Source organism: Homo sapiens, chromosome 2, assembly GCF_000001405.40.
Source record: "Homo sapiens chromosome 2, GRCh38.p14 Primary Assembly".
NCBI classification, from domain to species: Eukaryota; Metazoa; Chordata; class Mammalia; order Primates; family Hominidae; genus Homo; species Homo sapiens.
In genome coordinates, this window is record NC_000002.12 from 129,983,381 (window position 1) to 130,005,077 (window position 21,697).

Here is a 21,697-nt window from a genome sequence, read left to right on the forward strand (position 1 = left end):
TCTTGAACTCCTGACCTCAGGTGATCTGCCCACCTTGGCCTCGCAAAGTGCTGGGATTACAGTTGTGAGGCACCGCGTCTGGCCTTATAATCCTTTTAAGAAGAAAGAACATCCTTAATTTTTTGAAGAGACTATTCTGTGTCCGTTTTATAATTTTTTGGCCACCGAAAAAGATATGTCCAATCACAGACACAGTGAATATAACAGGTGGTAGTTTCAAGTGTTGACTTTTGGTCAGGTGTGGTGGCTCACACCTGTAATCCCAGCACTTTGGGAGGCTGAGGTGGGTGGATCACCTGAGGTAGGGAGTTCAAGACCAGCCTGGCCGACATGGTGAAACCTACAAAAATTAGCTGGGCGTGGTGGCGCGTTTCTGTATCCCAGCTACTCGGGAGGCTGAGGGAGAAGAATCGCTTGAACCCAGGAGGCCCAGGTTGCAGTGAGCCAAGATCACACCACTGCACTCCAGCCTGGGTGACAGAGTGAGACTCCCTCTCAAATAAATAAATAAATAAAATGTTGAATTTTTACAAGTCGTTGTTCCCATTCCAATTTTTGAATGCAACCGCAGCCTCTTACAAAACAGCCTTGTTAAACTAATTTGCTGATATTAAATTCTTAAGTAAAAGGGGAATTCCACAGGGATTTATATTGCTCTTTTATAAATCTCTTGAACCTAGGAGAAGGAGGTTGCAGTGAGCCAAGATCAGGCCATTGCACTCCAGCCTGGGTGACAGAGTGAGACTCTGTCTCAAACAAAAACAAAAATAAAAAAGAGGAAAAATCAGGCACAAGTATGCAGAGAAAGGTGAAGTGAGTAAAGGGTCTAACCCATAACTCTGAATTCCAAAGTTTGAGCTAATGCTCCAAAACACAGGAAATGGTATTTGCTTGTGAAATTGTGCATGTTTTTCATAAAAAGTAGAAAGTATTTGCACAGGTTTCTGCAGTCCTGAGGGGCAGAGATGAATCTGTCATTTGCAGATATGAAGACAGCTCAAGGTAGTGATCCTGGACATTCAGGAGGGGAATTAGACACGAGATCCGGGGCTGGATGCTCACTCAATTAGCCAGTCCCTGGGTCACTCAGGGGAAACCTATGCTGATTTCTGGAGCTCTTTCTTTGTATAGTTCGTTACTTTAAATTTGAGATGCTCACTTAGCCCTCCTAAAATAATATTTGTCTCTCTTCAATTCAGGGATTTCTCCAAGCTCTGTCTGGGTTCTGCTGCCAATGGTGTTGTCCAGTAAGTATCCCCAGGCAGAAATAAGGGGCTATTGTAGGGCTTACATTGCTTGTTTCTCTTCTCAACTGGAGAAAAACAGTCCTTAGTTGCTGATTGTCTAATGTTTGAAAATGATGGTTTTCTATAGTTTGTCTAGTTTTCTAGTTGTTTATAGTGGAATCAGTCATTAGCCCCTGATTAGAGACAGAATCTCTCATCTACTCAACTTTTTACTTTAATTTAAAACTTTTTAAAATGTTATATTTTAATTTTGTTACAGAATATAGTAATACATTATCCTAGTGTAAAATTTAAAAAGTAAGTAATATTTAGTAAAAAAAAATACTCCTCCCACTTTCACTCCCAGAAGTAACTGATGTTACAAAATCTTTCTGTCTTTTAGAGTTATTATATGTATCTACAAAATAAAACACAGGAAACTAGCCATAATAAAATAATGGGGTCTAAAGGAATTCAATCACATAAAATGTTAGGTCAAATTTATTGTGAGATTAATAAAAATTATACTTTTGTTAAACTATTACTCTCACAAAAAGCATAAAATGATTGTGAAACTTACAGCACACATTACTGACTAGTGAATTGAGTAACCGCCATTGATTGTGAGGCAGTGACTTCTATGTCCCCTTCCCCATCTCATTACTTACAAGTCATGTATAAGAGTTTCCTTTGTTCTGTAACTTCTCTGACAGTTGTGATTGAAATTTTAAATTTTTGTCAAGCTGGCTAATGTAAAACATCATCCTGTTCTATGTTTAATAGCATTTCCCTGATTACCAATATGAAGCATTATATATTGTCTGTTCATGTTTCATATTTTGTATAATGTCTATATCCTTTGTTCATTATTTGTTATTTGTATTATTCTTTATATATTATTCTTTAACACATTGCTGTTTATATGTTGGTTATATTTTACATTTTCTTCTAGTTTATGGGAAGTCTTTTTCTTTTCCTAAGACAATCTATTGATAAATATAAGCTGTGAATATTAAAGTTATAATTAAAGTTATCAAATGTTTGAGATAACTTTATTCATTAGCTCTTTATGAGTTTTTGGTTTTTTTTCAGTTAAATGAAATAACTTCTTTTTTTGTTTTTTGATGTGAAGAACTTGGTGGAGAAATTAAAATTTCAGATGCAGAAAAAGAAGCAAGAAAATTGCTGGAATGACAGGCATGGGTAGATAACAGGTGTGATGGTTAATACTGAGTGTCACCTTGATTGGATTGAAGGATGCAAAGTATTGTTCCTGGGTGTGTCTGTAAGGATGTCACCAAAGGAGATTAACAGTTGAGTCAGTGAACTGGGAGATGCAGACCCACCCTCAGTCTGGGTGGTCACCCTCTAATCAGCTGCCAGTGCATCTAGGATAAAAGCAGGCAGAGAAATATGGAAGGGCTCGACTGGCTCCACCTTTCTCCCGTGCTGGTTGCTTCCTGCCCTCAAACATCAAACTCCAGGTTCTTTCAGCTTTTGGACTCTTGGACCTACACCAGGGGTTTGCCAGGGGCTCTCAGGCCTTCAGCCACAGACTGAAGGCTGCACGGTTGGCTTCCCTACTTTTGGGATTTGGGGACTCAGACTGGCTTTCTTCCTCCTCAGCTTGCAGACAGCCTATCGTGCAACTTCACCTTGTGATTGTGCGAGTCAACACTCTTTAATAACCCATTTTATATATACATTTATCCTATTAGTCCTGTCCCTCTAGAGAATCCTAATACAACAAGACACAGCACCCAGTCACAGTAAGAGGGGTGGACATTATTTAGAAGCAAAGACAGTTCACCCATATGAAAAGGAGAGATAACAGAATGTAGGTATAGATATATGAAGATGAGCAGATGTAGAGACTGGAGATTTTGAAATTCTTGTCAAATGACCACTTTTTTTTACAAGTGAAATAGAAAATAAAGTCATCAGCAAAGAGCAAAGATGGGAAGGAGAGAAAATAAATATGAACTGTTACTCTGGGAAAGGATGAGAATGAATGGAGCAGGGAATATTTTTTTCTGGGAAGCATAAAGACATGAGCTTTGTGATCATGAATTTCAGTTGAAACAAATCAACCTGATTCCCTCTTACTCTATTTTAAATTTCAGTTTTATTTAAAAATCTGAACATAATATCCATAATTATAGTATTATACAGAAGAGTTTCACTGCCCTAAAATTCCTCTGTACTCCATCTGCTCATCCCTCTGTCCCCCATAACTCCTGGCAACCACTGATTTTTTTTAACTGTCTCCATAGTTTTGCCTTTCCCAGAATGTCATGTAGCTGGAGTCATACAGTATGTAGCATTTCCTGATTGGCTTCACTCAGAAACATGTATTTGAGATTCCTTTATGTCTTTTTATGGCTTGATAGGTCATTTCTTTTTAATGCTGAATAATATTTCATGTATACAATACATGTATTACAGTTTATCCATTTACCTAATGAAGGACATCTTGGTTGCTTCCAAGTTTGGCAATTATGAATTAAGCTGCTGTAAACATTATTGTGCAGGTTTTTGTGTGGACAAGTTTTCAGTTTCTTTAGGTAAATACTAAGGAGCATTAATGCTAGATTATATGATAAGAGTTTGCTTAGTTTTGTAAAAAGCTGACCAACTGTCTTCGTAAGTGGTGTAACATTTGCATTCCTACCAGCATCACCAGCATTTGATGCTGTCTGCCTTTCACATTCATCAGGCTTAACCTTCATAATTTTGCTGCACTTACTTTTAAAATGAAAGTCTTCAATTCATCCCGTGCTTTGTTTCTTAAACAATCTTGAATGAGTTCTTTAAAGTCTAAAAATCTCCAGAAAATAAAAGTGTTAACTATATATTGAGAGCTGAAGTTTGCAGAGCAAAGGAGTGACACTACATTGGTGATGATGTAAAACCTCAGCTGAAAATTCTAATAGCTACAGAAGAGGTATGATATTTTCATATATAGTTCCTTCTCATTTACATGTGTAAACTTAAGAGAGTCAGGAGTATTGTATTGTTAGGAAAATCAGAGCACTTCAAAAAATTGCTGTTTATAATGTTTAGAAATTTAGACCTAACACTTTCATGATATAGACTAGAGTAGACTTAGCTAAACAGAACCATTTATTAGTCTGTTGTACATATTGTTTTTGACATATTTATTATATTATAAACTACAAAAGGAGAATAAAATAGTGTAAAACTATTTTGAGAAGGGATCTAATAAAAATAACATAATTATGGGATTTCTATTATCCACACTCAATTAAGACTAATATTTTTAATTTAAAAAAAGTTTTTTAAAGAAGAATTCCTGAATGGTAATTGATAGTACATTAATTTGTTTTTTTGATAAAAATCCTCAAAGAATAAAAATAATTTCTTCCTACCTCTATATTACAATCAGCATAATTGAAATAATATGCTTCAATTGTTAGTAAAGTAACATTTATGTTTTGGAATCAATGAAGCTAAGCCAGCACTAAGAATTTTATTACTATTCCTCCACTACATTTCAGAGGGTTATTTCTTTATCCTTAAACATACCACAATAACGAGTCTGCTAGGTCCATTTAGATTATCAACCCAACCCTAAAAGAAAGAAGATTTCTATTGGTTACACATTTCAGAAGATTGTTGTATCTTTGGAACATCTGCAGTCTCATCTTAATAAATTTCAAACAAGAGCACTGAAACTCCAGCCAATAGAACTATCTAATTCAGTCTTATTAAGATCCCAAAGATCAATGGCAAAGCATTGGCTATTTTCTGCACTTTGCGCAAGAATTAAAATTTGGCCAGGATTGTTGTTCATAGCAGGAGTCAGGAATGGTTTTGTGGTGTTTTATGACATCTTAAGGGCTACATTGAACCTTGTCCTTATATCATGATCTGCTAAGCAATTCACCAACCATACTTCTCCACCTCAGTCCTGACTTTAGCCTCCTTAGGAGAATATTGGAGACATGATTGGTAGTAATGGCCCATTTCTTGACATTTTTGACCAGCTACAGATACACATTTTGACCATGCCAGATACACACATATATATGTGTGTGTGTGTGTATATGTAGTGTGTGTGTGTGTGTGTATTGTGTGTTGACTTGCTTAAAGACATTACAGGGAAGATTATATTTAAGACCAGTTAGAGGGAAATGTCTTTTTGAGTTTGTTCCCTAAACTCTAAGCCATTCAGCTGACCTTATTATGTCTGTTTACCTCATAGTGTAGAAGTCAAAATGTGTGTGTATAATGGGAAAGGAGAGAGGCAGGAGGAGAAGATGAAGGGATTAATATCCATGAACCTTGTAGTAAGGACCTGCCTTTTACTAGAGACTGAGCACTCCTCATACATTGTCTCATTAAACCACCTCTCCAAAATAGTATCCCTCTTGTTTTATGGAAGGGACAACTCAAAAATTTTGCATTGCCAGTAAGTGATGGAGCTGGAATTTATCTGCCCCAAAGCTTCACAGACTTGCTTTAAAGAAGATGGTATAATTCTATCTCACACCAGTTAGAATGGCGATCATTAAAAAGTTAGGAAACAACAGGTGCTGGAGAGGATGTGGAGAAATAGGAACGCTTTTACACTGTTGGTAGGAGTGTAAACTAGTTCAATCACTGTAGAAGACAGTGTGGCGATTCCTCAAGGAACTAGAACTAGAAATACCATTTGATCCAGCGATCCCATTAGTGGGTATATACCCAAAGGATTATAAATCGTGCTACTATAAAGACACATGCACACGTATGTTTATTGCGGCACTATTCACAATAGCAACGACCTGGAACCAACTCAAATCTCTATCGATGATAGACTGGATTAAGAAAATGTGGCACATATACACCATGGAGAACTATGCAGCCATAAAAAAGGATGAATTCATATCCTTTGTAGTGACATGGATGAAACTGGAAACCATCATTCTGAGCAAACTACCACAAGGACAGAAAACCAAATACCGCATGTTCTCACTTATAGGTGGGAATTGAACAATGAGAACACTTGGACACAAGGCGGGGAACATCACACACCAGGGCCTGTCATGGGGTGGGGGGATGGGGGAGGGATAGCATTACGAGAAATACCTAATGTAAATGACGAGTTAATGGGTGCAGCAAACCAACACAGCACATGTATACATATGTAACAAACCTGCGCGTTGTGCACATGTACCCTAGAACTTAAAGTATAATAAAAAAAAGAAGATAGTATAATTCAAAGTACTTTCAAAAGGACATAGCGCTATACTGAGGTTAGAAAAAACAGTGTTCCCAAGCTGAGATCCTTCTGTGCACTTTGTAACCCTTGTTTACCCTGGCAGTTGCAATACTACCAATTTACCATTAAGAACATTCGGTATGTTTAAACTACAGTGGGAAAGCCAAGATATGAAACCATCACCCATGGGAATTTTGAGGCTAGAGTAATTAGAAGCTAATTTAAGATCTCCATTCAACTCTAGGACAGTCAGGGTAACTGCCAGAGAAGCTGCATGCTGGGTAAATCCTGATCCCAAAGTGGAATTTTGCCCTAGTACAATGGGTTGATATATGATTGGCTGCACTTAGCTATACATCCTGAGGAGGAAGAAGAGGAGGAGAAGGGGAAGGGGAAGAGGAAGAAGAAGAGGAAGAAAGAAGAAGAAGGAAGAGAAGGAGGAGGAGGGGGAGAAATGACATCAGAAAGTAATTGGGCTAGAAGAACTTTAATTTGGAAGCAAAATACAGAATTCAGGTGAGTGGGCTTACTGGGAAAGGGTCGTGCCACGTCGCTCCCACAGTGGAGGGCCTTATGATGGCGATGGTTACATTTCTGCTCTCCTGCTGCACCACCATTTCTCCCAAGGCCTTGCGGTAGGTGCAAGAATTGGGCAGATCTCTGATCAGCTTGGGTGTGATCTCGTCAATAACAGCGTTATCTAACCACCTAAAAAGTAGTCAGAGTAAAAAGAATTCTAGCAGCATATGTTAGACAATAGACCAAAAGGAAAATGTGACACACAAATAGTCAAAACAAAACTTCCACCTTTTAGCCTTGGTTCTGGAATTCAGAAGAGTCACACGATACCAAGTTTGTGTGCGTACCTGTTCAAAGCATGCATGAGCTCTTTGCTCTCCACTGCTAAGCCCAATCTCATCAGCCAAATCCTACGCCCTCCCATCTAGAGAGATAGGTAGGTAGACAGACCAATAGAATCAATAGCAATACCACTTTATTGTTACTACTAGTATAGGGCTATTAGTACTACTTGATTAGTATGACTTTAGCACTACTATTACTTTATCAATTACTTTATCAATATTGTTACTTTATCTGTAGTAGTGCTAATTTGAGGTAATTACATACAACCTCTTTACTTCCTCTCCAAGAAGCTCATAAATAAATTCATTGCATGCATTTTTGAGTCCCAGTCATTCTCTCAGTAGTGTGCTAGATGCTATATGTTCAGGGAGTTTGAGGCTCTCATCCAAGGTGTTTCAGTGGCAGCCCTGTTCAGTGTTGTCCCATAGAAACCAGTGCAGTGATCCTGAAGAGTTTAGCTTTACATTTTAAAAATTTCATTCAATGCAAATCAAACCAAAGTGACTATGGCAGACTGACAATCTCTTTTAGCAAATCTATGTAATGCATTTTGAAGGTCTGTTTAGAGTCTGGGCTAATAACTTGCTAATTATTTCCAGAGATTTCCAATGAATTCTGAAGTCTGTGAAGTGGGGTGATTATAGTACTCTGAAATTGCTTCAAAATCATGAATATTGAATTCTCCTACTTATAATATGACATGTATCATGAATAACTGAGTTACCATAGCATTTGCCTAATCTTTCTAAAAATATGTCAGAACTGGCCTGGCGGAGTGGCTCACACCTGTAATCCCAGCACTTTGGGAGGCCGAGGCGGGTGGATCTTGAGGTCAGGAAATTGAGACCATCCTGGCCAACATGGTGAAACCCCGTCTCTACTAAAAGTATAAAAATTAGCTGGGCGTGGTGGCACATGCCTGTAATCCCAGCTACTTGAGAGGCTGAAGCAGGAGAATCGCTTGAACCCAGGAGTCAGAGGTTGTAATCAGCCAAGATCGCACCACTGCTCACCAGCCTGGTGACACAGAGAGACTCCATCTCAAAGAAAAAAAAAAGAACCATTTGATAAACCCAAAGTGTATCTACACGTCTCTAAGAGAGCAAAAAATTATTGTCAATTAAATATGTAACATTTATTCTAACTGACAGATCTATGTGGTTAAATTATTGATATAGCATTTTAAAAATTAAGCTGCCATTCTAGCTGCTGTGTGATGGTATCTCACTGTGGTTTTGATTTGCATTTCTCTGATGGCCAGTGATGGTGAGCATTTTTTCGTGTGTCTGTTGGCTGCATAAATGTCTTCTTTTGAGAAGTGTCTGTTCATATCCTTTGCCCACTTTTTGTTGGGGTTGTTTGTTTTTTTCTTGTAAATTTGTTTAAGTTATTTGTAGATTCTGGATATTAGCCTTTTGTCAGATGGGTAGATTGCAAAAATGTTCTCCCATTCTGTAGGTTGCCTGTTCACTCTGACGGTAGTTTCTTTTGCTGTGCAGAAGCTCTTTAGTTTAATTAGATCCCATTTGTCTATTTTGGCTTTTGTTGCCATTGCTTGACATAGGAACGCTTTTACACTGTTGGTGGGAGTGTAAACTAGTTCAACCATTGTGGAAGACAGTGTGGCGATTCCTCAAGGATCTAGAACTAGAAATACCATTTGACCCAGCGATTCCATTACTGGGTATATACCCAAAGGATTATAAATCATGCTACTATAAAGACACATGCACAGGTATGTTTATTGCGGCACTATTCACAATAGCAAAAAGTTGGAACCAACGCAAATATCCATCAGCCATAGACTGGATTAAGAAAATGTGACACATGAGGCCAGCGCCGGCGGCGGCGGCAGCGGTGCTGGGGGCGCAGAGGGCCGCGCAAGCGGAACCGGGCGAGCACGCGAGCTACCGGAGAGCGGGCGGCCTTGCGGGAGGCGGCGGCGGCACCCCAGGCCAAGCCGGCGCGGGAGGAGTTCCAGGGCGATGGGGCCGCGGCCGGGCCTGATGCTTTGACAGCTGGAAAGAGCGCGGAGCCAGCGCCTGCTCGGGAGGGAGGGGAGCGCTGCTAGGAGAGCGCCAGCCAGCGAGAGAGGGAGGGAGCGCCTGGGAGGGGGCCGGGGGCGAGGGGCAGCTCGGGAGAGCGGGAGCGGTGGCGGCTGTGGGGAGGCTGGGCGCCCTCTTCCCTGCAAACCATGTTTGCCAAAGGCAAAGGCTCCTTGGTGCCCTCGGACGGGCAGGCTGGGGAAAAGTTAGCTTTATACGTCTACGAATATTTACTGCAGGTAGGAGCACAGAAATCTGCACAGACCTTCTTATCGGAGATTCGCTGGGAAAAAAACATCGCGTTGGGAGAACCGCCTGGGTTTTTGCACTCGTGGTGGTGTGTATTTTGGGACCTTTACTGTGCAGCTACTAAAAGGAGAGACACTTGTGAACATTCAAGTGAAGCAAAAGCCTTTCCTGATTCTAGTGCAGCAGCTGCCCTGAGCCCCGTGCTTGGCAACATTCCCCCCAACAATAGGATGCGGGGAGGCCGAGTCCCGCCAGGGTCCTCCGGGGTCACAGCCCTCGCCGCACGCACAGCCTCCACCTCACAATCCTAGCAGCATGATGGGACCCCACAGTCAGCCTTTCATGTCACCGCGATACGCAGGCGGCCCCAGGCCCCCCGATCAGAATGGGAAACCAGCCTCCGGGAGGAGTTCCTGGGACACAGCCATTGCTGCCCAATTCCATGGATCCCGCACGACAACAAGGCCATCCCCACATGGGAGGATCAATGCAGAGAATGAACCCTCCCCGAGGCATGGGGCCCACGGGTCCCAGCCCACAGAATTACGGCAGCGGCATGAGACCACCACGCAATTCCCTCGGCCCCCCATGCCCGGGATTAACATGGGCCCGGGAGCCGGCAGACCCTGGCCCAATCCTAACAGTGCTAACTCAATTCCATACTCCTCCTCATCACCTGGTACCTATGTGGGACCCCCTGGTGGTGGCGGCCCTCCAGGAACACCCACTATGCCCAGTCCCTCAGATTCAACAAATTCCAGCGACATCTACACAATGATTAATCCGGTGCCGCCTGGAGGCAGCCGGTCCAACTTCCCGATGGGTCCCGGCTCGGACGGTCGGATGGGCAGCATGGGCGGCATGGAGCCACACCACATGAACGGATTGTTAGGGTCAGGCGACATAGATGGCTTCCAAAAAATTCTCCTAACAACGTAAATAGTATTAGCAATCCTCCAGGCACCCCTCGAGATGACGGAGAGTTAGGAGGGAACTTCCTCCACTCCTTTCAGAATGACAATTATTCTCCAAGCATGACGATGAGTGTGTGATCCCCCCTTCTCCAAGACGCTGAGAGAGCCTGCATTGCAGGCGGGAAGATGCCAGAAATTATGCAAGAAGTGAGGTGTCATTATCCAGGAGCTGGTAGGGAGGGCATCTCCTGCTCCCCTCAAACCCTCCCACCCCATTCACTCCCACCTTTCCCAATTTTAGTTTCATGCAATAAAAAGGCTGAACTTTTTATTCCATAAAATAAAACAAAAAGAAAGAAAGAAAGAAAATGTGGCACATATACACCATGGAATACTATGCAGCCATAAAAAAGGATGAGTTTGTGTCCTTTGCAGGGACATGGATGAAGCTGGAAACCATCATTCTGAGCAAACTATCATAAGGACAGAAAACCAAACACCACATGTTCTCACTCATAGGTGGGAATTGAACAATGAGAACACTTGGACACAGGGCGGGGAACATCACACACAGGGGCCTGTCCTAGCGTGGAGGCTAGGGGAGGGATAGCATTAGGAGAAATACCTAATGTAAATGACGAGTAAATGGGTGCAGCAAACCAACATGGCACATATATACCTACGTAACAAACCTGCACGTTGTGCACATGTGCCCTAGAACTTAAAGTATAATAATAAAAAAATTAAGCTGCCAGAATATGCTAGTGTGATTTTTCTGACCAATGTGGTACATTTATTTCTATTTTATACAACAGAACATAACAATACTATTTTGATTGTAGAAAATCTTCACTGTTACCACCTTGCTGACATGACACATTTTTGAACAACTAAGATGTGCATGAGGTTAAGACTTATTCAGAATCACAACTCTCAGTATTAATGCCTCATTTCATCCTGGGGTAGAACATGGGCATTGACTATAATGTTTCCGTTTTTCTTGCTTTGCTTCTGAGTGCTGAGTGTCTTCTGGATACTCAAATGTCTTTTCATTTAAGTTGAATAGAGAAAGATTGAGGGGTTCTAGAATTAAAAACTTAAACTACATAGAAATATCAAGGATACTTTAATTATATGGTCACCTGGAGGCTGGGAAAAAGTGTAGGATGATGCAGACACCTCTCCGTCTTAACAATAATCCTACCTCATTTCATTTGTGGGTCAACAGCGGATTGACTGACCTGAGATCATTTTCCCTCAACTGCAAAAATATACAGTTTATAAAAACCAGGTCTTCAGAAAATAGAGCTTAATATCAATAAGGCTGTAAAGAAAAAATTCCTAGAAAACATCAGAGCCCAACAATGTGCTGGGATTGTATGTCACAAGGCTAGTACCAGTTGCGGTCATTAATGTTGGGGTACCTGGAAAGGACAATACTTGGGGGGATGGGGGCCTTATAAAGCTTAGTAGGTTTGCTTGTCTTAGAAAATGTTGTTTTTGGTTGTTGTTGTTTTGGTTTGGTTTGGTTTATTTGGTTTTTTTTTTTTTTTTTTTTTTGAGAAGGAGTCTCGCTCTTTTCCCCCAGGCTGGAGTGCAATGGTGTGATCTCGGCTCACTGCAACCTCTGCCTCCCAGGTTCAAGCAATTCTCCTGCCTCAGCCTTCTGAGTAGCTGGGATTATAGGTGCCTGCCACCACGCCTGGCTAATCTTTGTACTTTTAGTAGACACGGGGTTTCACCATGTTGGCCAGGCTAGTCTCAAACTACTGACCACAGGTGATCCACCCGTCTCAGCCTCCCAAAGTGCTGGGATTTCAGGCATGAGAAAATGTTGGTAACATGCATGCAAGAAATTTTAATATTCTATAGATGGCTTGCCTCTGCTGTTCTTACTTACACCTGTGTTCCACTGTTTTATCTTCTCATTCCAATTTTACTTGTGAAAATAGCAATAATTATATTCATTCTAAATTCTCAGGCTATTATGAGGGTAAACAAAAATATTCACAACTGCATTTAAGATCTTTGATAAAACAAAATGAGCCAAAAACCTAAGGCATTCCTATTTTGAAACAAAACAACAAGGGAGCATCATACATCTGTGTAGGTAATAGTTGGTTTTAAAATGTCATTTCTGGCCAGGTGTGGTGGCTCAAACCTATAATCCCAGCACTTTGAGAGGCCAAGGAAGGAGGATCGCTTGAGTCCAGGAGTTTGAGACCAGCCTGGGCAACATAATAAGACCCTGTCTCTACAAAAAAAGTTTTTAAAACTTAGCTGGGCATGGTGGCATGCACCTGTAGTCCTACTCAGGAGGCTGAGGCAGGAGGATTGCTTGAGCCTTGGAGTTGAAGGCTGCAGTGAGCTGTGATTCTGCCACCCTACTCTAGCCTGGGTGAAAGAGCAAGACCCTGTCTCAAAATAAATGAATGAATGAATGAATGAATTAATTAATTAATAAAACAAATAAAAATAAATTATTATTTATAATACAGCCAAAGAGACCATCTGCTAGCTCATTCAGCCAGTTCCTAGGTTCAGACAGGAGATTATGTAAACACGCACATGCACCGATTGGGCAAAGCCTTTCTCAGGACTTTCACTCAATTCAGGGTTGCTGCTGTTGTTTGTTCTCAGTATGTTTTTAAACAGTAAATAAGTTACCATGGATAAAAAACACTATATAAACCAAAATACATGTCTGAAATTAATCCAAATGTTCTTCAGTATACTCAAGAAGATGTTTTGACCCATGGGTCTCAAATTCTAAACTCGAATTGCTTCAGAAGAAGCATAAAGTCATTGAAAATTTCAGAAAGCAATATGTATATGTCTATGTGTGTACATGCATAGACACATACACAATTTCTTCTAAAGATTACTATCAATTTTGGGGTTTCAAACTTATTGAATCAACATGATTATATCATTAATAGTTTCATTATTTATGTATTTATGGAATGAAATACTAAGAAGCATATGTATTTCCCCTCCCCTGACCCTCCAATTTTCTTATTCAACAAGTTGGCAAGCCTAGTGGTTTATGAGGAAATCTGTTAGAGAGTAAGTAGTGGACACACTGTCTTATGATAACATTTGTTATCTCTTTCTCTAGTCTAAATTATATAATTCACTTGATTGTTTTAGTTATCAAGTTGTATTTGTTCATCTATCTGTCTCCCCACTGGACAGTGAGTCCAGGAGAGCAGGGATTATGATTTTTATCTCTGTGTCCAATCACTTTTCTGCCCCGAGGAGCCAGCTGCCTTATTCAGTAAATGGATGCTCTTCCACATGGTAATCTTAATTGGTCAATTTCTGTTCTATATAAGGTTTTGGGAAACAAAGATGGACAAATAATGAGACAGAGTGGATGAAAGGAAGATGAGGTTATAGGGAGAATGTGAGAAAGGAAGGAAGGGGGTATCTTCACAGAGCAGGAAGCAAAATTGGAAGTCAAAGTGTGCAGTTGCAGTGGTGGAAAGTGTTGACCAACCTCGGTTTGGTGAAGGTGGCGTCAAATCAATTTAAACTTTTCACGGGGAAGCAGGGTATTTCTGAGCCTAATGGTTATGGAGAATTGGCCTCTGTATTTCCCTCCAGACTTTCACGGACTACTCAGCCTAGAGCAAACATGATCCAGATGCCGAATGGACTGCCAATGTGAAAATTATTTGATTTGATTAAGAAACAATTTAATCTTACTCTGGTTTGTATTTAAAGCCTGCTAATATCAAAGCACACAGAATTTTCATTTTTATATCAGCAACTTAGATGCCATTTAGAAGCTGTGCCATCCTGAAATTAAAAGCACAAGTTGTAGAGTCAGCTTTCCCCATTCCCTTAGAAGAGATCAGCTTTTTTGGTGTTAACAATGTGTTCTATAGCAGGAAGGCAAGACTACTGTCCAACGTCTGACCTCCTTTCATATCTCCTGGAGGACTGTGATGAGGGCCACTGCTGCTGGCTGTGGGGGTCTCCATTCCCCTGCCTGTCACCTCTGCACCCTCAGTGCACACACAACCTTTCCTTTTTTACATGGCAGACTAGCTGTGTCTTCTGGTGGCCACGTAGATTCAGAAGTGTGGGTTTTAGTAGGTACAGATCTACTAGGAACTTCCATTCAATTAAAGTTTCTAAGAACTGAAAGACAACAGGAGGTGAGGAAGGCAGGAGAAAGAGGAAGCATGGGGTATTAGAAGATAAGTGATCCTCATTTCAAATGAAGACTGCTTAATGAAAAATCTCTTTAAGGCACTATTTCCCAAACTTGCCTGTTCACCAATGTGAATTACACAAGGCCCCTGGGAAAAATCCAGACTCCTGGGTGCCATTTTAGAACCACTAAATACATCTGCAGAGGTAAGAGCCTGGATAATCTGTATTTTCAGTATGCCCTGGAAATTCCAGCAGTCAGGCAAATTAGGGAATCCCTAATTTAAAGAAGTCCACTCCATCAACTTAAGTCATTAAGATTTGAATAGATCAGGATTAGCTCTCAAAAACGCATTGCTTCTTGAGTAAACATTTCAACAGCATTGAATTTTAAAAGAATTAAATCCCCTGAGGGTGGAGCCAAGATGGCCGAATATGAAGAGCTCCGGTCTACAGCTCCCAGCGTGAGCGATGCAGAAGATGGGTGATTTCTGCATTTCCATCTGAGGTACCGGGTTCATCTCACTAGGGAGTGCCAGACAGTGGGTGCAGGACAGTGGGTGCAGCACACTGTGCATGACCCAAAGCAGGGCGAGGGATTGCCTCACTCAAGAAGCGCAAGGGGTCAGGGAGTTCCCTTTCCTAGTCAAAGAAAGGGGTGACAGACAGCACCTGGAAAATTGGGTCACTCCCACCCTAATACTGCGCTTTTCCAACAGGCTCAAAAATTGCACACCAGGAGATTATATCCCGCACATGGCTTGGAGGGTCCTACGCCCACAGAGTCTGGCTGATTGCTAGCACAGTAGTCTGAGATCAAACTGCAAGGCAGCAGCGAGGCTGGGGGAGAGGCGCCTGCCATTGCCCAGGCTTGATTAGGTAAACAAAGTGGCAGGGAAGCTCAAACGGGGTGGAGCCCACCACAGCTCAAGGAGGCCTGCCTGCCTCTGTAGGCTCCACCTCTGGGGGCGGGGTACAGACAAACAAAAAGACAGCAGTAACCTCTGAAGACTTAAATGTCCCTGTCTGACAGCTTTGAAGAGAGTAGTGGTTCTCCCAGCACACAGCTGGAGATCTGAGAACAGGCAGACTGCCTCCTCAAGTGGGTCCTTGACCCCCAAGCAGCCTAACTGGGAGGCACCCCCCAGTAGGGGCAGACTGACACCTCACACGGCCGGGTACTTCTCTGAGATAAGACTTCCAGAGGGACAATCAGGCAGCAGCATTTGCGGTTCACCAAGATCCGCTGTTCTACAGCCACTGCTCTTCTACAGCCACCACTGTTCTGCAGTCACTGCTGCTGATACCCAGGCAAACAGGGTCTGGAGTGGACTTCTAGCAAACTCCAACAGACCTGCAGCTGAGGGTCCTGTCTGTTAGAAGGAAAACTAACAAACAGAAAGGACATCCACACCAAAAACCCTTCTGTACATCACCATCATCAAGGACCAAAAGTAGATAAAACCACAAAGACAGGGAAAAAACAGCAGAAAAACTGGAAACTCTAAAAAGCAGAGCACCTCTCCTCCTCCAAAGGAATGCAGCTCCTCACCAGCAACGGAACAAAGCTGGATGGAGAATGACTTTGACAAGCTGAGAGAAGAAGGCTTCAGACAATCAAACTACTCCAAGCTACAGGAGGAAATTCAAACCAATGGCAAAGAAGTTAAAAACTGTGAAAAAAAATTAGACAAATCGATAACTAGAATAACCAATGCAGAGAAGTCCTTAAAGGAGCTGATGGAGCTGAAAGTCAAGGCTCGAGAACTACGTGAAGAATGCAGAAGCCTCAGGAGCCGATGCGATCAGCTGGAATAAAGGGTATCAGTGATGGAAGACAAAATGAATGAAATGAAGCGAGAAGGGAAGTTTAGAGAAAAAAGAATAAAAAAACAAACAAAACCTCTAAGAAATATTGGACTATGTGAAAAGACCAAATCTACATCTGATTGGTGTACCTGAAAGTGACGGGGAGAATGGAACCAAGTTGGAAAACACTCTGCAGGATATTATCCAGGAGAACTTCCCCAATCTAGCAAGGCAGGCCAACATTCAGATTCAGGAAATACAGAGAATGCCACAAAGATACTCCTCGAGCAGAGCAACTCCCAGACACATAATTGTCAGATTCACCAAAGTTGAAATGGAGGAAAAAATGTTAAGGGCACCCAGAGAGAAAGGTTGGGTTACCCACAAAGGGAAGCCCATCAGACTAACAGTGGGTCTCTCGGCAGAAACTCTACAAGCCAGAAGAGAGTGGAGGCCAATATTCAACATTCTTAAAGAAAAGAATTTTCGACCCAGAATTTCATATCCAGCCAAACTAAGCTTCATAAGTGAAGGAGAAATAAAATCCTTTAAAGACAAGCAAATGCTGAGAGATTTTGTCACTATCAGGCTTGCCCTAAAAGAGCTCCTGAAGGAAGCACTAAACATGGAAAGGAAGAACTGGTACCAGCCACTGCAAAAACATTCCAAAATGTAAAGACCATCAAGGCTGGGAAGAAACTGCATCAACTAACGAGCAAAATAACCAGCTAACATCATAATGACAGGACCAAATACACATATAACAATATTAACTTTAAATGTAAATGGGCTAAATGCTCCAATTAAAAGACACAGACTGGCAAATTGGATAAAGAGTCAAGACCCATCAGTGTGCTGTATTCAGGAAACCCATCTCACATGCAGAGACACACATAGGCTCAAAATAAAGGGATGGAGGAAGATCTACCAAGCAAATGGAAAACAAAAATGGGCAGGAGTTGCAATCCTAGTCTTTGATAAAACAGACTTTAAACCAACAAAGATCAAAAGAGACAAAGAAGGCCATTACATAATGGTAAAGGGATCAATTCAACAAGAAGAGCTAACTATCCTAAATATATCTGCACTCAATACAGGAGCACCCAGATTCATAAAGCAAGTCCTTAGTGATCTACAAAGAGATGTAGAATCCCACACAATAATAATGGGAGACTTTAACACCCCACTGTCAACATTAGACAGATCAATGAGACAGAAAGTTAAGAAGGATACCCAGGAATTGAACTCAGCTCTGCACCAAGCGGATCTAATAGACATCTACAGAACTCTATACCCCAAATCAACAGAATATACATTTTTTTCAGCACCACACCACACCTATTCCAAAATTGACCACATAGTTAGAAGTAAAGCACTCCTCAGCAAATGTAGAAGAACAGAAATTATAACAAACTGTCTCTCAGACCACAGTGCAATCAAACTAGAACTCAGCATTAAGAAACTCACTCAAAACCACTCAACTACATGGAAACTGAACAACCTGCTCCTGAATGACTACTGAGTACATAACGAAATGAAGGCAGAAATAAAGATGTTCTTGAAACCAAGGAGAACAAAGACACAACATACCAGAATCTCTGGGACACATTCAAAGCAGTGTGTAGAGGGAAATTTATAGCACTAAATGCCCACGAGAGAAAGCAGGAAAGATCCAGAATTGACACCCTAAAGTCACAATTAAAAGAACTAGATAAGCAAGAGCAAACACATTCAAAAGCTAGCAGAAGGCAAGAAATAACTAAAATCAGAGCAGAACTGAAGGAAATAGAGACACAAAAAACCCTTCAAAAAATTAATGAATCCAGGAGCTGGTTTTTCTAAAAGATCAACAAAATTGACAGACCGCTAGCAAGACTAATAAAGAAGAAAAGAGACAAGAATCAAATAGACACAATAGTCATTGATATTTTGATAAGGATTGCATTGAATCTGTAGATTGCTTTGGGTGGTAGTATCTACATTTTATCAATATTGATTCTTCCAATCCATGAACCTGAAATACTTTTCCAGTTTTTGGTGTCCTATTCAATTTCTTTCATCAGTGTATTATAGTTTTTATTATAGAAATCTTTCACTTCTTTGGTCAAGTTAATTCCTAGGTATTTAACTCTATGTGTGGCTATTTTAAAGGGTGTTACTTTAAAAAAAATTCTTTTTAATGTCCTTGATTCTTGTTCACTGAAAAGACTCAAATTTTGCTTATTGAATTAAAATTAATTCTTGTAAGAACAGTAACAGAACTATTACTACAATAGAATGGAAGCCTGATTCTTGAAGTTTGTATGACTGTGATGAGAGTTCGCAGGTAGCAACTGCTAAATGAGGACACAAAGCGTTCCCTAAATCCTCTGTATTAACTGCCAATGAGAGCTTCATTTCTCCCATCTTTATAGCAGACCCTCTATTTTTATAATAATGACAAGACTGAAGGGACAAGATGAAATGGTGCAAATGGATCCTGGATAAGCGCCAGTTCTTCTAAAAGGTTTTTTATTTTTGCTAATGTGAAAGATTAAATTTAGAAAAATATGAAGTCAAAATGAATAAATAAAAAACATAATTTCAAAAATTTCATTGAAAGCCCATCAATTAAGAACAATATAATTAGTTTAAAATCTAAGAGCTTATCTTGTTTCTTCCCATTGCATAAACTTATTTTCTCTACTTGACAGCATAAGACTGAGAAGGTAAAGAGTTGAATAACTGCTAACCATCATCAAAACTCAAGCAGAGGGATTGTTTTTTAACCATTTTAGGAAACCTTGTTCTTGACACATTTATGTGATCACTGAAAGATACAGCTGAAAGGTGATCTAAGCATTTCAAATTATAACAAAACTATACATTTCTCTTGGAAACTGACAGTGTTCCATTGATTTTCCATTACACAGGCAAGTATTCTGTGTCTTAATTTGTTTTTAAACATGAGATACTATTCAAATTATATGAACAGTTACTTGTAGCCCAGAGGCAAGAGAGAAACTGCAAACTCTAAGTAAGGAAATTCAGCAGATGAGAAAAACAGAAAGAGAAATTCTTTGGTTTAAATAAACTCCTTGCGGGCCAGGTGTGGTGGCTCACGCCTGTAATCCCAGCACTTTGAGAGGCTGAGGTGGGAGGATCACAAGGTCAGGAGTTTGAGACCAGCTTGGCCAACAAAGTGAAACCCAGTATCTACTAAAAATACAAAAATTAGCCAGGCATGGTGGCACATGCCTGTAATTCCAGCTACTTGGGAGGCTGAGGCAGGAGAATCGCTCAAACCCAGGAGGTGGAGGTTGCAGTGAGCCAAGATTATGCCACTGCACTCCAGCTTGGGCAACAGAGTGAGACTTCATCTCAAAAAAATTAAATAAATAAAATAAAAAATAAAAAAATGAACTCCTCATGTGTGACTTCTGTAGTCAGACACTAACACTGTATTTTTATTAGAAGCAGGAATTGGGGTGGGGGCATTAAATTTATATGATGTTTTTGAAACAATTCAGAGGCCTTTAATGTGGTCTCTTACAATCAACAAGTTAGCCACATGACCTCATTTTGGAAATATCCACAGGAGATTTGGCCTGTAATTCCTTGGGCTCACTGAAGGTAATCAAATCTTTTCCAGTCATAAGAATCTTTGATCTTTAATTATTTTACTAAGTCTTGCTCTTCAAAAATAACTGTATTATTTAGTCCCATTAACCCACCAAGACCTGCTTTACATATATATGTAAAAGAAATTATATATATATATATATATATATATATATATATATATATATATATATATATATGTATGTATATGTATATTTGTCAAAGAAAAGAGTAAGGTCCCTTAAACTAAGGGGCAGTCTCTGTGGAATATTTGGTGTCCCAAGGTGAAAGAGACACTGTAACGTTTTATAGAAAATTTGTAGAGTGCTGAGTAAAAGCAAATAAATGAATTCTACAAATTAGCTCTAAGTTGAGAACAATTAAACACAAATAAGTACATTCTAATTTAAGCAAAAACCATTATACCCAATGTACAGATTAACAAAAATTCACAAAATGTTAAAATTTTTGCTAGTTCACTAGTAACTCCCATAAGATGTAAAGATTAGTCTACATGTTTTTAATGTTTTAGCAAAGGATCATTTCTATAACTCCATAAGGCAGCATGGTATAGTAGTATGGCCGTCAAACTTCGGCATATAGCAGGGTTGCCTAGGAAGTTGCTCAAACAAACATATGTCCTGACCCTGGAGATTCTCATTCAGCAGTTATTGGTCAAAGCTTGGGCATTTAGCTTTACTTTGAACACACTCTCTGGTAATTCTGATACACTCTGTAGTTGAGAACCATCGGTGTATTGGAAAGAACTCAGGCCCTTTGGAGTCATGAAAGACTGGATTTGAATTCTGATTCTGCCATTTATTTGCTATGTGACTGGGGCAAGTTATTTACCTCTCTGCACCATCATGTCTAAAATGCCAATCATGTGACTAACTTATCACGTGATCGCAGAGAAGTAGGATTAAGCACATATTATGCTGTTCTTATAGACAATTTTGCATTTAACAAAATTTTACTTCACTTTGCGTAATAATCTATAATAAATGCTAAATGCAGCACAATGTTTGATTCACCATCTTGTTATGCTTTCTTCCCACACCAAAGGTCAATTTCACAGAGTTCTTTAATAATTCTTTCTTGCAGCTGGGCAGGAATGGAACCAGGGTGGCTAGGAAGTTGAACAACCTTAAGATTATTTCTGCTCTCCAACAGAATTGGTGGTGTCTCTACATTATTCATGCTAGATGATGGAAGAAGTGTTGATACTAAGAAGTGACAAGCAATAGTTTCCCCTTCTTCATGATATTGTCATGGAGGAAGAAATTTCCTAGGAGAGGCAATAAACTACAGTAGAGAAAGTATGGGCTTTAGAGATTAGAGACCGGCATTCCAATTTTGTATATAACTGGGCATAAATTACATAACCTTGGATAGAGGACAGCTTTCATGAACTAATATCTCATCTGTGATATAGGAATGGGCACACTACAGAGATTTCTGAGGATTAGAGTAATGAAGTCAGATGTTTGTCTTAGTGCCTACCACATTGTAGGTCCCTAATAACAGGAAAATCCCCTTTCTACTTTCACAGCAGTACTCCATTTCCAAAAGCTGCTGATCAGAAAGCTGTGTCGTGTGTGTGTGTGT

At 40.4% G+C, this 21,697-nt stretch overlaps 2 pseudogenes; one reads left to right on the forward strand and one right to left on the reverse strand.

Moving 5' to 3' along the window:
- Positions 9,225 to 9,725, reverse strand: LOC100422513 (pleckstrin homology domain containing B2 pseudogene; annotated as a pseudogene).
- On the forward strand, positions 9,509 to 10,657 carry SSBP3P6 (SSBP3 pseudogene 6; annotated as a pseudogene).